At 45.3% G+C, this 17,028-nt stretch overlaps 1 protein-coding gene and 1 long non-coding RNA gene across 12 annotated transcripts in view, besides 4 other annotated features; one reads left to right on the top strand and one right to left on the bottom strand.

Moving 5' to 3' along the window:
- Positions 1 to 3,739, bottom strand: part of PAN3 (poly(A) specific ribonuclease subunit PAN3) — a 157,143-nt gene extending 153,404 nt beyond the window's left edge. For 10 of the 11 annotated variants that reach the window (XR_941549.3, NM_175854.8, XM_011535032.4 and 7 more), the window contains exon 1: positions 2,845 to 3,387. Coding sequence is in view for 9 of the 11 variants with exons in the window: in NM_175854.8 (NP_787050.6) it covers positions 2,845 to 3,274 (430 nt within the window). In the remaining 2 variants the exon portion in view is untranslated. Of the gene's footprint in view, positions 1 to 2,844; positions 3,388 to 3,503 lie in introns of those variants that run through there. The other variant, XM_011535034.4, reaches the window with a different exon arrangement.
- Positions 2,346 to 2,640: an enhancer, noted in NCBI's record as "tiled region #11800; K562 Activating DNase matched - State 1:Tss, and HepG2 Activating DNase unmatched - State 1:Tss". NCBI's record gives its function as "activates a minimal TATA promoter and a strong SV40 promoter by Sharpr-MPRA in K562 cells, with weaker activity in HepG2 cells {active_cell/tissue: K562 | HepG2}" and the evidence as "EXISTENCE:reporter gene assay evidence [ECO:0000049][PMID:27701403]".
- Positions 2,723 to 3,122: a silencer, noted in NCBI's record as "silent region_5210". NCBI's record gives its function as "represses an Ori minimal core promoter by ATAC-STARR-seq in GM12878 lymphoblastoid cells {active_cell/tissue: GM12878}" and the evidence as "EXISTENCE:reporter gene assay evidence [ECO:0000049][PMID:35858748]".
- Positions 2,758 to 5,089, top strand: PAN3-AS1 (PAN3 antisense RNA 1). Its single transcript, NR_029383.1, has 2 exons — positions 2,758 to 3,385; positions 3,527 to 5,089. It is a non-coding gene; the product is annotated as a PAN3 antisense RNA 1 (long non-coding RNA).
- Positions 3,163 to 3,242: a silencer, noted in NCBI's record as "silent region_5209". NCBI's record gives its function as "represses an Ori minimal core promoter by ATAC-STARR-seq in GM12878 lymphoblastoid cells {active_cell/tissue: GM12878}" and the evidence as "EXISTENCE:reporter gene assay evidence [ECO:0000049][PMID:35858748]".
- Positions 3,433 to 3,542: a silencer, noted in NCBI's record as "silent region_5208". NCBI's record gives its function as "represses an Ori minimal core promoter by ATAC-STARR-seq in GM12878 lymphoblastoid cells {active_cell/tissue: GM12878}" and the evidence as "EXISTENCE:reporter gene assay evidence [ECO:0000049][PMID:35858748]".
- Positions 5,090 to 17,028: the final 11,939 nt, after the last annotated feature.

The raw sequence follows: 17,028 nt of genomic DNA, 5'->3' as shown, positions 1-17,028 counted from the left end.
AGTCCCTATATCTCAGTTATTTTCCTAAGATGTCCCACCTTTGAGCCACTGCTAATATTTTTTCCTCCACCTTAAGGGTACTTACCTTCCCCTCCCATCTTCATCTGCTTACATCCTGTCCTCTTTCAAGTCTCAGCCCTTCTACCTATTGTGTGTTAATTAGAAAATCCTCGGCCAGGTGCGGTGGCTCCCGCCAGTAATCCCTAGGAGGCCGAGGCAGGCGGATCACCTGAGATCAGGAGTTTGAGACCAGCCTGACCAACATGGAGAAACCCCGTGTCTACTAAAACTACAATATTAGCTGAGCGTGGTGGTGCCTGCCTGTAATCCCAGCTACTAGGGAGTCTGAGGCAGGAGAATCTCTTGAACCCGGGAGGCAGAGGTTGCGGTGAGCCGAGATCACTAGATTGCACTCCAGCCTCGTAAACAAGAGTGAAACTCCGTCTCAAAAAAAAAAAAAAAAAAAAAAGAAAAAAAGAAAAAGAAAATCCTAGAATGATCGTCAGAGCTGTCTGTCAGGAATAAGATTAATAGATAAATAAAACTTTAAAAGTTTTTTTTAAAAAGAGAATCCTAGAAAGATCACCTATGAAGTCTAACACCAGCATTTTAAAAAGTGCCTCTTTCTGGCCAGCACAGTGGCTCACACCTGTAATCCCAGCACTTTGGGAGGCCGAGGCGGGACGATCACCTGAGGTCAGGAGTTCGAGACCCACCTGGCCAACATGGCGAAACCCCGTCTCTACTAAAAATACAAAAATAAGCCGGTCGTGGTGGCGCATGCCTGTAAAACCCAGCTACTTGGGAGGCTGAGGCAGGAGAATTGCTTGAACCTGGGAGGTGGAGGTTGCTGTGAGCCGAGATCGCACCACTGCACTTCAGCCTGGACGACAAGCAAGCCTCCGTCTCAAAAAAAAAAAAAAAAAAAGTGTCTCTTTCTGTCAGTAAGAAAACTATTGTTCAGTGTCATTGGTTACTAATCAAACATTACTACTGAGTCACGACTCACACATCCAGCAAAACTTTAACCTGAAAATGCAAAGTTGATGCTCGAAAGTGATAAAATTCCACCCATAAGTAACCATTTGTTTTACAAAACATCTGAATTTACAAAATTAATTTTCTTAGCATTATCAGCCTTAGCAAATATATCTTCATTAAAGTCAAGCCCATCACAACAAATGAAACACTTCTATAAAAGAAAAAGAAAGAAGAGAGAAAGGAGAAAAGAACAGAACAGAACAACACTTGGCCCAGCATGGTGCCTCACTCCTGTAATCCCAGCACTTTGGGAGGCCCAGGCAGGAAGATCGCTTGAGCCCAGGAGTTCCAGGCCAGCTTGGGCAACATAGGAAGATCCCGTCTCGAAAGAAAAAGCAAGAAAGCAAAACCCCGGGGAAGATATTAAATAATCCTCATAGACCAATTAAATGCTAAAACTTCCTATCAGGTTCATTAACAGTGTTTAAGAAAAAGACAAAATGTTCTCATGTACAAATTGAACTGCCTATCAGATTATTTTAAGATCTAGTTCTCCAGAATTCCCAAGAAAGTAGGACTCCTATTTGGTTTAGAAACGCTCAATATACTAAGAAACAAAACAGGGACATCTGGCACCGGCTCTATTCGTAAAGGCAACATTCTCTAACAGATTACGCTCACATTCAATTGTAAACTCCACTAACAACTAACAAGCTTCAGGTCAATAGATAACAACACACTGAGAGGCTGAGGAGGACAGATCACTTGAGGCCAGCAGTTTGAGACCAGCCTGGCCAACACAACGAGACTACTATCTCAACTAAAACTACAAAAAATTATCTGGCCGTGGTGGCGCGCGCCTGTAGTCCCAGCTACTCCGTAGGCAGAGGCAACAGAATCGCTTGAACTCGGGAGGCGGAGGTTGCAGTGAGCTGAGATCGCGCAACTGCACTCCAGCCTGAGCGACAGGGCGAGACTCTCTCCAAAACAACAACAACAACAACAACAACAACACATGAAAAAGAAATATAAACAGCCTTAAGATGTCCCCACCCAAGTGCTCAGTCGCACATAAACGCAGGCTGCACATGACATGCATTCAAGACACAATGCTGAGTTTGCTTGATACAAAGCTATAGAAGACAGGATCCCAGCTGACACCAGCAAACTTATTCTAGCTTTCAGGGAAACTCAGATGAAATGCGTCTTTGTGAAATCCCTACTCTAAACTCTCGATTAAACCTGAGCACACTTTGAACGCGACAGTCCGCTCCCTCCTAATCCTTAGAAAGCATTTCCTGCCTGCAAAACCTTTCTCCCGCAAGCCTTCTACAAACTTTTTCCGTTCTTTCAACCTACTCCACGAAGCCTTAAGCCCGCCCCTCACCTCCCGCCCCCTACACACACACACACACACACACACACACACACACACAAACACACCCCTCCCCACTAGGGAACCTCAACACTCTGCAGACGCCACTCCACAAGGACACGCAAAACACATGTGCCTGCAAACCCAGCCCCTTTCCACACCCCCCGGAAACGACACCCCCTTTCTCACACTCCGCACGCCACAGCCCATCCCCCTTCCTCCCCGCCCCCCCTTCACATCACCCCAGTCCTCCCACCCACGTTCCCGGGAACCCAACCTCCCCGCGCTCTCCGACTTGCCGAAGGCAGTGGGGAGGGGAAGCAGGAAGAAGGAAGGAGGGCTCAGGCCCGGCCTAGGCCTCTCAGACCGCCTTGGGAGGTGAGGGGGGGAGCCCGCGGGCCGTGCTCAGCTCCCGTCGGCAGCAGGGCCTCATCCGGCCCAGGCCTGCCCTCCGCCGCCGCGGCCCGCCCCGCCCGAAAAACACTCACTTGCCAGCCGCGGTCCATCGAGTCCCCCGCTACTGCCTCCTCCGCCGGCTGCGGCTCCGGTCCCCGGGTCCCCCAGGTCCGGCTTCTTGGGCCCGGGGGGCGGCCCAGCTCCCCCGCCCGCGACGGCTCCCGGCGGAAAGCCGGCCACGGGTGCACCAGCCAGAGCCAGGGGGACGCTGTTGCTATGGAGGCCGAGGCCCGGGGCAGCCCCGGCGGCAGGGTCCTCATGCAGGAACTGACACTCCTCCCCGTAGAAGCAAGTCTTATCCTTAGCGTAGTAGCGGCAGTACTTCAGCTTCACTCCTACCGCCGCCCCGCCGGGGACACCCCCGACCCCCGGCGGGGCCACCACCGCCACCGCCGCCGCCAGCGAGGAGGAGGAAGGGGAGGCGGCGGCCGAGGGGGGCGGGAGGCCGCCGCCACTGTTCATGGCAACGCCGCAGCCTCGTCTTCCGCCGCCGCCCGAGGAGCCGCCGCCGCCACCACCATAGACGGGGGAGGAAAGGAAGACGCTGCCGGTGCCGGATAAAAGCCTGGGCGGGTGGGTCTGTCCCGCTGCGGGAGCCGGAGCCGCCCGGGGAGAAGGGGGAGGGGAGAGGGGAGGGAGGAGGGGGTAGAAGGAGGGAGGGTAGGGGGAGAGTTGGGATTCTCTCACTCACTCTCTCGTTCTCTTTTCTTAAAGGGGCCGCGCGGGACGACGGGGTGAGCGCGCGGGCCCAGACGGGGACTTCGAGGGCGCGGGCAGGGGAAGAGGGAGCGGCAGCGGCAAGCGGGTGGGGAAGGCGGAGGGGCCGGTTTATTTTTAAATTCTGCCTCCACTCGCTCTCTCGCGCTCTGGTTCCTCCGAGTTGTTTATTCCATTTTCCTCTTCCTGAGACGGCCGTCGCCGCTGCGCGTGCGCGCTGAGACGCGAGGGCTTATGGGTAGCGGGAGCGCTAGGGGAAGCCTGGCCGGCGTCGGGCCCCCGGGGGCATCCGCGAGCTATCGGCGGTTGGACCGGCGGCTCTCGGTGGGGTTCCGGACGCGGATCTGGCGCCGAATTCTCACGAGACCTGATACCTTCCTTATTTGTATATTCTCTTACTTAAAAAGCCAGATGTCTTTTTTTTTTTTTTCATTGAAAAGAGAAAATTGACAAGGTAAACGGTCGTTTGGAGGGGCCACCTGGGGACGCGGCCCGAGCCCTGGCTCTACCTGAAGAATATCTTCTATTTGCCACACTTCCTCTCCCCGTTTCCTTTCTTCGCCCCTCTCCTCTTTCCCCTTCCCCTCGAAGGTAATGAGAACTACTGGACCGATTACGCTAACCTCTTGGCCCTTTGTCAAAAAATGGAGCCAAAAAGGTTGATTTAGACAGACCCCCTGCTCAGTGCAGCACCTGTTATTCTCTGTATTTATATTACCAAGGGCCTTCGGTAAATTATGAAAAATAGGATGCCACCTGGGACAACACTGCTTAGACAGCACTGGAAGACCTTTATAAATATACTAGGTTGCTTTTCTCCAATCAGCCTAGCCTTGATTTGAAATTCATTTTTATTTTTTTTGAGACGGTGAAATTCATTTTTAAAAGATAGTTTTAACCTCAGCGATCTCTGATGTTTGCGCTAATACCCTTTTAAAGGCTTTCAGAAATTTTAAAGAATTGCTATGAAAGGAAAAGTAACATTCTAGTTTTTCTCTGTAAAAGAGGTTCACAAACGGCAGATCGCTGTTATGAAAAGGAGGGGTGGAAGTATTTAAGGAATTGTGGCAAACAAAGTCACAGAAGAATGGATATAAGCAAAAGTAGCACACTGAAAAAAATGGGGAAAAGTGGAGTCTAGATCACAAACTGGTAAGCTTGGTGATGTTCTCTAGCCAAATTCGAAGGTAATAACATTGTATTATGGCTTTCTGTTTAAAAGCAGTTTCGCTTATTTGATTATTCAACAAATCTTTATTAACACGCATTACGTGTACCAGAAACTGTGGTACACTTAACTGTGGAGCTGGGGAAGCAAAAGTGAACATGCCGCCTTAAGTGAGTTCAGATGGCTTATCTTCCGGTTGGGGAGGCATCAAGTACACAGGTCCGTTGTAAACCAGTGTCTTAAGTGCTAACCTTATCACATTTGCTATTAGAGGATATTAAACATGTCAGACTTCTTGGAGAAAGTTGATATTTTCATGTTCCAAGTTTGGGAACATCATTGAATTCAGACAGATCTGGATTGAAACAGATTAAAGTGCCTACACTTTAATAGCTGTGTTCCTCTCAGTTAATTGCTTCATTTCTCTGTGCCTTGTCTGTACACCTGGATTAAGAATAGTACCTACTTCATAAAGTATAACTAATAATGTATATAAACTGTCCCATGCCTAATAAGAATTCGGTAGGTTGTAACTATTATTAATAGTATTGGCCAGGCGCAGTGGCTCACGCCTGTAATCCCAGCACTTTGGGAGGCCAAGGCGGGTGGATCACCTGAGATCAGGAGTTCGAGACCAGTCTGGCCAACCTGGTAAAACACCGTCTCTACAAAAATACAAAAAAATTACTGGGCGTGGTGGCGAGCGCCTGTGATCCCAGCTACTGGGGAGGCTGAGACATAAGAATCACTTGAACCTGGGAAGCAGAGGTTGCAGTGAGCCGAGATCTCGTCATTGCACGCCAGCCTGGGCGACAGAGCGAGACTCCATCTCGAAAAAAAAGTAGTATTGCTGCTAGTGGTAGTCAGTGTATAGTCAAAGAGCATTCTAGGCAAACAGCTTTTATTGTTAGAATACAGTGATAGTGGAAAATGGAGCAGAGTCCACAAAAGTCCTTGTAGGGCCATGTTAAAGAATTGAACTTTTGGCCAGGCGCAGTGGCTCACGCCTGTAATCCCAGCACTTTGGGAGGCTGAGGCGAGCAGATCACGAGGTCAGGAGTTCAAGACCAGCCTGGCCAACATGGTGAAACCCCCGTCTCTGCTAAAAATACAAAAATTAGCTGGGTGTGGTAGCAGGCACCTGTAATCTCACCTACTCGGGAGGCTGAGACAGAAGAATTGCTTGAACCCGGGAGGCAGAGGTTGCAGTGAGATCGCACCACTGCACTCTAGCCTGGGCGACAGAGCAAGGCTCCATCTCAAAAAAAAAAAAAAGAATTGAACTTTTTCTTGAGGACAATTGGAAGTTATTACAGGGTTTTTAAAAGTCAACATGGCAGGGCACAGTGGCTCACACCTCTAACCTCACTGCTTTGGAAGGAAGCCAAGGCAAGAGGATCACTTGAGGCCGGGAGTTCAAGACCCTCTTGGGAAAACTAGCAAGACCCTGTCTATACAAAACAATTTAAAAATTAGCCAGGTGTAGAGGCACTTGCCTATAGTCCTAGCTACTGGGGAGGCTGAGGCAGAGGATCATTTGGGCTCAGGAGTTCCAGGATGCAGTGAGCTTTGAAGGCGCCATTTTATGCCAACCTGCACAGCAGTGAGACCCTCTCGGTCAATAAATAAAAAATAAACTTATTTGCCACACATTTCATATCTCCACACTTTTTTAGGAGACAACTACTTATTCCTATAGTAGGGTTGTCTTTTTAAGCAGGGTTCATTGTTGAGTATTCCTTTACTAAAAATAAATATGTAGTCAACTCTAAGTTATTTTCATGTTAATGAAGATTACATCCAAAACTGCAAATAATCCATAAATTATTCATAAAATGTATACTTGACCTCCAACAGCATTTCCCCAGCAACAGAGACTACATTGCTAAAGGGTAATGTTAATTTCTATTAAATGCTAATAATTGAGGCCAAGCGCATTGGCTCACACCTGTAATCCTAGCACTTTGGGAGGCGGAAGTGGGTGGATCACTTGAGGTAAGGAGTTTGAGACCAGCCTGACCAACGTGGTGAAACCCCGTCTCTACCAAAAATACAGAAAATTAGCTAGGCATGGTGGCAGGCACCTGTAATCCCAGCTTCTCGGGAGGCTGAGGCAGGAGAATTGCTTGAACCTGGGAGGCGGAGGTTACAGTGAGCCGAGATTGCGCCATTGCATTCCAGCCTGGGCAACAGAGCGAGACTTCATCTCAAAATTAATAATAATAAAGATTGAGAGGAAAACGTCACATTTTCTGAATGGTTAATTATTATATTAGTGATAGCAGCCTGAGTCTTAAAAATTCTCCCTTAAGGACAAGCATGTGGCTCACACTTATAATCCTAACACTTTAGGAGGTCAAGGCAGGAGAATCACTTGGCTCAGAAGTTCTGAGACCAGCCTAGGCAACATAGGGAAACACTGTCTCTACAAAAAAATTTAGCTGGGCATGGTGGCATTCTGTGGTCACAGCTACTTGGGAGGCTTAGGTGGGAGGATTGCTTGGGCCAGGAGGTCGAGGCTGCAGTGACAGCCTAGGTGACAGCAACCCTGGTGTCACCTGGTGAAAAAAAGGTGACCCTGTCTCAAAAAAAAATAAAAATTATCCCTTAAGATAGAGTGGAAACTGCATGTGGATAAATGAGAGTTGACTGTTTTTGAGTCCTAGAAATGAAATTTGCTGCATATGTATAAATACATTTCTTACATATTTGTAAAGTATGTTCCTTATGCACTAAGCTCTATAATTTTATACAAAGTTACTAGCAACTGCTTAATTTAATCTTGTTGACAAATTTTGGGTGCACTAGAAGCAAAAACCTTCCTATTTGTGGCAGTGATAAATAACTGATACATGACAGATTTTTTGGCCAGGCGCAGTGACCCACGCCTGTAATCCCAGCATTTTGGGAGTCCAAGGTAGGCGAATCACTTGAGGCCAGGGTTCCAGAACAGCCAGGCCAACATGGTGAAACCCCATCTCTACTAAAAATACAAAAGTTAGCCAGACGTGGTGGTGCAAGTGCCTGGTGCAAGTGCCTATAATCCCAGCTACTCGGGAGGCTGAGGCACGAGAATCACTTGAACCTGGGAGGCAGAGGTTGCAGTGAGCCAAGATCGTGCTACTGCACTCCAGCCTGGGTGACAGAGCAAGACTACGTCTCAAAAAAAAGATTTTTTAATGTATCTATGACCCTTTATAGAAGACATAGTCTTTCATCATTATCATCATACTTATGTACTGATATATACTACATAGGTTTTTTTAGTGTTTATGGCAGTAAAAGCAATTTGTTACCTTTCTATACAAGTTTTCAAAGGATTTCAAGATGCTCATATTTATTATATTCTTGTGAAATACATTAAAGGCAAATATGATTTTGAAATTAATTATATCTTGGAAATGGCCCTGACAATCTAGTATATCATTGGTATCATCCCATACAACTACCACCAGCCATATAGAAGTACCTTTAACTTAGCAAAACTCACTATTACCACTTCTGTTGGTTAAGCACCCCCTACTCCAGAAACTAATATTTGTATGTGAAATATGACCATTATAATCTTAAATCGGATAATTCTCTATTAATAATTGATTTTACTATTTCAAAGACTATGTTTATTTCAGTTTAGATTTTCTAATTTATACTTGGATGAAAAACTTTAAATCAGGAGACTTGCTGAAAAAGATATGTATTAAAGCAAGAATTTTTTTTTTCTTTTTTTTGAGACGGAGTCTCACTCTGTCGCCCAGGCTAGAGTGCAGTGGCGCAATCTCGGCTCACTGCAAGCTCCACCTCCCGGGTTCACGCCATTCTCCTGCCTCAGCCTCCTGAGTAGCTGGGATTACAGGCATGCGCCACCACCCCCAGCTAATTTTGTATTTTTAGTAGAGACGGGGTTTCTCCATGTTGGCCAGGCTGGTCTCAAACTCCTGACCTCAGGTGATCCACCCGCCTTGGCCTCCCAAAGTGCTGGGATTACAGGCATGAGCCACCGCTCCCGGCCAGAATTTTTTTTCTTAATCTTTACAACTTTTCTGTAAAAAGCAAGAATCTTAATAAGATATACTATTAATAAAATGAAGCTCCCGAAAAAAAAAAAAAAAAACTTTGTCTTTTACTGTCTGTTAACCCTTTCACATGACCTATTATAGAGCAATAATATAAGTGCTAAAATTTATTCACAAGGTTTTTTATTTTATTTTATTTTATTTTGAGACAGAGTCATGGTCTGTCATCTAGGCTGGACTGCAGTCGCATGATCATGGCTCACTGCAGCCTCAACCTCTTAGGCTCAAGTGATCCTCCCACCTCAAAGTAGCTGGGACTACAGGCATGTGCCGCCAGTCCTGGCAAATTTTTTATTTTTTGAAGAGACAGGGTCTCACTGTGTTACCCAGGCTGGTCTTGAACTCCTGAGCTCAAGCAATCCTCCCACCTCAGCCTCCCAAAAGCTGGGATTACGAGTGTGAGCCATCGCAACCGGCCTTATTTTTCATTTATATTTCTATTTATTTAAGAGACAGGGTCTTACTATGTTGTCCATGCTGGCCTCAAACTCCTGGGCTTAAAGGATCCTCCTGCTTCAGCCTCCCAAGTAGCTGGGACTACAGGCACTTAAATAGCCAGACTACAGTCTTAACTATTTTTATTATTAAAAAAGAATTAATAATAACAGACTTTAACACAAGGACAAAAATGAATCAAGAGCAAGGAGGAAAAGGGAATGTGTCATAAAGCAAAGGCTGAAATTAATAAAATGGAAAACATTAAAAATCTTAAACCAAACTTTCGTTATTTTTAAATAACAATAAAAATAGATACACTCTTGACAAGTCTAAGAATGGTAAAAAGAAAGAAAAATACACATCATTAGTATCTTCAGTACACTTATAGAAAATAACTAACTGCCAGTCTAGCATTCAATGTCTAATGAAAATATCCTTTAAAATGTAAGATGAGGCCAGGAGTGGTAGCTCACGCCTATCATCCCAGAACTTTGGGAGGCTGAGATGGGAGGATCACTTGAAGCCAGGAGTTTCAGATCAGCCTGGACAGCAAAGTGTGACCCCATCTTTACAAAAAAAGGAAAAAATAGGCCGGGCATGGTGGCTCACGCCTATAATCCTAGCACTTCGGGAGGCCAAGGTGGGTGGATCACCTGAGGTCAGGAGTTCAAGACCAGCCTGGCCAACACAGCAAGACCACCATCTCAACTAAAACTACAAAAAATTATCTGGGCGTGGTGGCACGCGCCTGTAGTCCCAGCTACTCTGTAGGCTGAGGCAGGTGAATCACTTGAACTCAGGAGGCGGAGGTTGCAGTGAACCGAGATCGCACCACTGCATTCCAGCCTGGGCAACAGAGGGAGGCTCTGTCTAAAAAAAGGAAAATTAGCTGGGCGTGGTGATGTTCAGTTATAGTCCCAGCTACTGGAGAGGCTGAAGCAGGAAGATCACTTGAGCTCAGGAGTTCGAGGGTATAGTGAACTACGATTATGCCATTGCACTTTAGTGGGGGCGACAGAGCGAGAACCTGTCTCTAAAATAAAGTGATTAATAATAAAAATAAAATGGAAGGCCAGGCACAGTGGCTCACGCCTGTAATCCCAGCAGTTTGGGAGGCTAAGGCGTGTGGATCACCTGAGGCAAGGAGTTTAAGACCAGCCTGGACAACATGGTGAAACTCCGTCTCTATTAAAAACACACAAAAAAATTAGCCGGACCTGGTGGCACACACCTGTAATCCCAGCTACCAGGAGGCTGAGGTGGGAAAATCACTTGAACCCAGGGGGGCAGAGGTTGCAGTGAGCCAAGATCACACCACTGCACTCCAGCCTGGGCAACAGAGCGAGACTCTGTCCCCCCAAGAAAATAAAAATAAATAAAAATAAAATGGAAGATGAAATAAGGACTTTCAGAAAAAGTGAGATAATTTGTCACTAGCAGATGTACACTATTCCAGATGGAAGGAATCAAGAGCAATTGAGTGAAATATGTGGGTAAAAAATTAATATTGACTATAAGACAACAGTGTCTTGTGGAGTTTTAAATAGATGTAGAATTAAAGCACACAAAAACATCAACATATAAACCATCAGGTATAAATCAAGGACCGCAAAGTCTTTGTATTTTAAAAAAGTAATAAAAATGGTTATTTATCTTAGACTAAAGTAAATCAGAGATACATGTTATAATTTCCAGGGCTACTAATATAATAGCAAAGTAAAATAATAAATAACCTCATAGAAGGGAATGGAACAATGAAGTACTTAATCGAAAATGAGAGGACAGAAAACAGAACAGGGGGAACAAATAGAAAACAATTAGATTAAAGTCTGAATACACTAAATGTAAACAATCAAGCTTCAGTTAAAAGGCAAAGACTTTCAGGTTGGGGTAATAGAATAAGAAAACTGTGTATTAGGGTTCAATCGGAGAAGCACAACCACTATGAAAAACAAAGAATGAGGGGTTTATTGTAGGATTAGATTTGACACCATAATAGTAACTGGTGGAGGAGTCTATGCTGTGTTATTGTCAGCATCTAGTGCAGAGCTGAAGCCGCTATGGGTCAGCCTAACCAGTAGTGTGGAAGGAGTACTGGATATGAACAAGAACATGGGCAAAGGGGAATCTAAAAAGGACAACTGGAATTCCTGAGGACAAACTAGAACACACGTCTATTTCTCACTGACATCAGCAGTTGCCATGGCATTGCACATACTCTTGGCCCATGAATTATAAAAACTGAAGGAAAGATCCTCAGGCCCGTTGCCTCCTCACTCCACTATCAGATCAGTGACAACCTGTGCAAGTTGCAATAGTGCCTGGTACGCTGCACTGGCTACTGCTTCACTTCTGCCTTCCAAATTGCATACAAAGTCTTCTTGTCTTCAACAGTGATGAAGAACTGTACTAGGAAAGAAATTCTGGTAAATACAGTTACAGTTTAGCTAATTTCACATAGTACAAAGCCACCACAGTCTACATCTTGGCATCTATACACACTTTTTCTGTAAACATTCTTAACTGACAATAACAAAGTCATGTTTCCAGCTAAGATGATCAGTTTCCTTCATAAACTTAAGCAACCCTTGCAGGACAGGAGGATATAAAGTCACTCCTAGCTGAATCACACTATAATGATCCTGTAATGTAAATCCTATAAGGTTAATTACCATTGGCACAAAGTATATTCGATGGTAGAGGAGTGGGGAGGGAGAGAAAAAAGATGTTTAATATACAAAAACATATTCAAAAGAAGAAATAACTATTCCAACCCTCATTTCTGCCCCTTATTCACATGGTCAAAGCTGTTTATTACAACAGGTCCTTCAATAATGTTTAGTTATAACATTAATGAGAAAAATTCTCTTTCCAGCTGGTGCCACTGTCGATGTGGAGTTTTCATGTTCTCCCCATGTTTATGTGGGTTTTCTCCAGGTACTCCAGTTTCCTCCCACATCCCAAAGCGGTGTACAGGAGGAGAATTGTTGCAGCTACATTTTCCCAGTCTGAGTGAATATAGGTGTCATGTGAGCATGCCCTATCATAGAATGGCCACCTGTCTAGGCGATTCCCGCCTAGAGCTCTGAGCTACTGGGATGGGCTTCAGCCACCCATGGCCCTGAGCTAGAATATTTGGGTAAATAATTATCTTACTTATTTTTATTAATATTTCTTAAATGTATGTATAGCCCACATTTTTTTCAATGTTTAATATTAGAAGTGCTTTGGTCTTTATTTAGAACTTTGTTGATGTTTTCATGACCATAAATAGAGTCTGATTAAGGGATTTAACTCTTGTTTATATCAGCCTCTGGTAAAATTGTTTTCTTCATACATCATTTCACTGAAAGGTGTAGTTTCCAAGAACCTGTTGACAACCTTAAGTTAGGACTTACTGTACTTCCTTCTTCCACTATCTATGCCATGTTTCCTTTGCCTTCAGCAGCCACCCAGGCTTTCATGATTCCTATCTGGTGAGGTGACCCACATCTTCATTTTTAAGGGTCTGGGTTGTTAGCAGTCCTGTCTGTAGGGGATAGTTATAGTTTGACTTTAATCACTGGGCAAGGGAGTACTGTGAGATGCCCCAGGGGACCTCATACATTCCAGACATACTGCTTACCTAATTGTGTAATAGTGATCTGATTGCTTCTTCTTTTTTGAGACAGGGTCTCAGTCTGTCACCCAGGCTGGAGTGAAGTGGCACAAATCATGGCTCACTACAGCCTTGACCTCCTGGGCCCAAGTGATCTTCCTGCCTCAGCCTCCCAAACATCTGGGACTACAGGTGTATACCACCTCACCTGGCTGATTTTTTTTTTTTTTTGTAAAGACAGGGTCTCACTATGTTGTCCAGACTGTCCAGTTTCTTCTTGATAGGATTAGTCACCCCAGCTACTACAATAATTTCCTTCTTTTATTTACTGTTTCAGAAAGCTAAATATGGCTAAGTGCAGTTTCAACTCCTAATTCAGTGGCTCAATTAACATGTGCCCCCTTTACTAGTGGAAGCAAGGTAATCAATACCTTTAAACCTAATTAGATTAGAGAACTAATTCCAGAGAATCCAGAAATAATACAGACAATCCATCTGTAAGGTTCTATTCCACTTCTGGCTATCCACTGCTGAATAACAACCCACCTCGAAACATAGTGGCTGAAAACAATCATTTATTTCTGCTTACAGATTATTTATTTCTGCTTACAAGTCTTCAATTTTGGTAGTATTTGGCAGCAATGGCTTATATCTGCCCCATGCAGTGTCACCCAGGGCAGCTTGTCTGGGAGCTGAGAATCCACTTTCTTTCTTTTTTTTTTTTCTCTTTTTTATTTTGCCACATCTCACCTGAATGGGAAGCCACTTTCAAGATATCTCAGGCATATGGTTGACAAGTTGGTGCTAGTTGTCATATGCTAGATCACCCAGGGCTGTGGGCCAAGGCCTCAATTCTGCTCCACCTGGTCTTCAATATGGACTGCTTGTGCTCCCTCACAGCACTGTGGCTGGGTTCCAAGAGTGTCTGAAGAGAATCATGCAGAAACTGCATGGCCTTTTCTAACTGAGCCTGAGAAGTTACACAGGGTCAACTCCACTATAGGCTATTCATGGAAGCAGGCACCTACCTACCCAGACTCAAGGAATAGGGAGTTTAACTCTATCTTTTGATGAAGATGTAGTTTCTAGAAGAGCATGTGGGATGGGGACATACTGTTGAGGCCACCTTTGGAAAATAAAATCTACCACAGTATGCTACCTTAAAAATAAGGAATCAAGAAAACAAAGGAAAAAGCTGGTAAAAATGTATAATATGAGCACTAACAGCAAGAAATACTCCTAGAGATAAAGAAGGACTTTTGTTTTCTTTATTTTTGAGACGGAGTCTCGCTCTGTCGCCAGGCTGGAGTGCAGTATCTCAGCTCACTGCAATCTCTGCCTCCCGGGTTCAAGTGATTCTCGTGCCTTAGCATCCCACGTAGCTAGGACTACAGGCGCGTGCCACCACGCCCAGCTAATTTTTGTATTTTTAGTAGAGATGGGGTTTTACCATGTTGTCCAGGGTGGTATTGATCTCTTGACCTCGTGATCCGCCCACCTCAGCCTCCCAAAGTGCCAGGCCTGTGAGTCACTGCGCCCGGCCAAGAGGGACATTTTATATTGATAAGTTAAATTCACCAATAAGATTTTAACAGTTCCAGGCCAGGCATGGTGGCTCACGACTGTAATCCCAGCACTTTAGGAGGCCAAGGCAGAAGGATTGCTTGAGCCCAGGATTTGGAGACCAGCCGGGACAACATGACAAAACCCTGTCTACAAAAAATACAAATATTAGCCAGGCATGGTGGTGTGCACCTGTAGTCCCAGCTACTCAGGAGGCTGAGGTGGGCTGATTGAGCCCAGGAGGTTGAAGTTGCAGTGAGCCGTGATTGTGCCACTGCATTCCAGCCTGGGCAACAGAATGAGACCTGGTCTCAGGGGGAAAAAAAAAAGTGCATATTTGCTTATTTATTTTGAGACAGGATTTTCCCCAGTTGCCCAGGCTGCAGTACAGTGGCAAGATAATAACTCACTGCAGACTTCATCTCCCAGGCTCAAATGATCCTCCCACCTCAACCTCCTGAGTAGCTGAGACTACAGGCACACGCTACCACACCCAACTATTTTTTTTTTCAGCAGAGAGGAGATCTTGCTATGAATTTAATCTTTTTTTTTTTTTTTTTTTTTTTTTTTGAGACAGAGTCTTGCTCTGTTACCCAGGCTGGAGTGCAGTGGCATAATCTCAGCTCACTGCAGCCTCTGCCTCCCAGGTTCCAGCGATTCTTCTGCCTCAGCCTCCTGGGTAGCTGGGATTACAGGCGCCCTCTACCATGCCCGGCTAATTTTTGTATTTTTAGTAGAAACGGGGTTTCGCCATGTTGGCCAGGCTGGTCTCGAACTCCCAACCTCAGGTGATCTGCTGGCCTCAGCCTCCCAAAGTGCTGGGATTACAGGCGTGAGCTACCGTGCCTGGCCTTTTTTTTCTTTTCTTTCTTTCTTGCGTGGTGTGTGTGTGTGTGTGACAGTCTCACTCTGTCTCCCAGGCTGGAGTGCAGTTGTGCAATCAAGAATTTAATCTTTAAAGCCACTTCTAAAATAGTGAAGAGTGGGAGTGGGTTATGAACAACACATATAACCAGACAACATGTAAAGAACTCCTACAAATCAATAAGAAAATAATAAGCACCCCAATAAAAATTAGTAAGAGATTTGAAAAGGCATTTCTCAAAAGATGATATGAAAGGGCTGGGTATGGTGGCTCATGCCTGCAATACAGCACTTTGGGAAGCTGAGGCAGGAGGATCCCTTGAGACCAGACCAGGCAACATTGTGAGACCCTATCTCTACAAAATATTGAAAAAACTATCTGGATATGGTGACGTGCACCTGTAGTCTCAGCTACCCTGAAGGCTGAGGTGGGAGGATCACTTGAGCCCCGGAAGTCAAGTCTGCAGTGAGCCCCATGATTGTGCCACTGTACTCCAACCTGGGCAACAGCGAGACCCTATCTCAAAAAAAAAAAAAAAAAAAAAAAAAAAAGAGATACGCAAATAGCCCATAAGCATGTGAAAAGGTATTCAATATCATTAATAATCAAGGAAATGAAAATTAAAACAAAAATGAATACTACCACTGGGACTCGGAAACCAATACCTCAAGGTCTCTCTGACATTCTCACCCTCCACCCTCCCCTAGACTTTCCCAAATAAGAAAGAAATTTTCTGAAGTTCCTTTTTCTGCCTGAGATCCAGACCCGCCAAGGAGAACAATTGTTTTTTTCTTTCACACCCTGTAAGGCCAAGAATGTACACCTGAACAGACCCTTTCACAAGCTTATGTACAGATTAATCGCTGTTTCCTGATCCATTCATTCTACCTAGTAATCCCCTCAACACAATTCCTCTTCTCATCCCCCATAACCCGTTTTGCCAGGATGATGTATAAGCTTCTGAACTCCTTTGGGAATGGATAATCACTCCGTGATTCTCCCCATGTATACATTATATAAATTTGTATGCCTTTCTCCAATCTGCCTTTTATGTATTTTTTTTTTTTTTTGAGAGTCTAGTTCTGCTGCCCAGGCTGGAATGCAGTGGCGCCATCTCAGCCCACTGCAACCTCTGCCTCCCAGGTTCCAGCAATTCTCCTGCCTCAGCCTCCCGAGTAGCTGGGATTACAGGCATGCGCCACCACGCCCGGCTAATTTTGTATTTTTAGTAGAGACGGGGTTTCTCCATGTTGGTCAGGCTGGTCTCGAACTCCCGACCTCAGGTGATCCGCCCACCTCGGGCTCCCAAAGTGCTGGAATTACAGGCGTGAGCCACCGCGCCTGGCCTAGCCTCCACTTTTAAGTGAGAACGTGAGGTACTGGGTTTTCCATCTCTGCATTAATTCGCCTAGAGTAGTGGCCTCCAGCTACATCCAAGTTGCTGCAAAGGACATGACTTTGTTTTTTGGGTTTTTTTTTTTTTTTTTTTTTTTTTTTTTTTTTTTTTTGAGACAGAGTCTTGCTCTGTAACCCAGGCTGGAGTGCAGTGGCGCGATCTCGGCTCACTGCAACCTCCGCCTCCCGGGTTCAAGCAATTCTCTGCCGCGGCCTCCGGAATAGCTGGGATTACAGGCGCGTGCCACCACGCCCAGCTAATTTTTGTATTTTTAGTAGAGACAGGGTTTCACCATCTTAGCTAGGCTGGTCTTGAATTCCTGACTTCGTGATCCACCAGCCTTGGCTTCCCAAAGTGCTGGGATTACAGGCGTGAGCCACCGCGCCCAGCCATTTTTT

Source organism: Homo sapiens, chromosome 13, assembly GCF_000001405.40.
Source record: "Homo sapiens chromosome 13, GRCh38.p14 Primary Assembly".
Lineage (NCBI taxonomy): Eukaryota > Metazoa > Chordata > Mammalia > Primates > Hominidae > Homo > Homo sapiens.
This window is presented reverse-complemented; position numbering and strand designations above follow the sequence as displayed.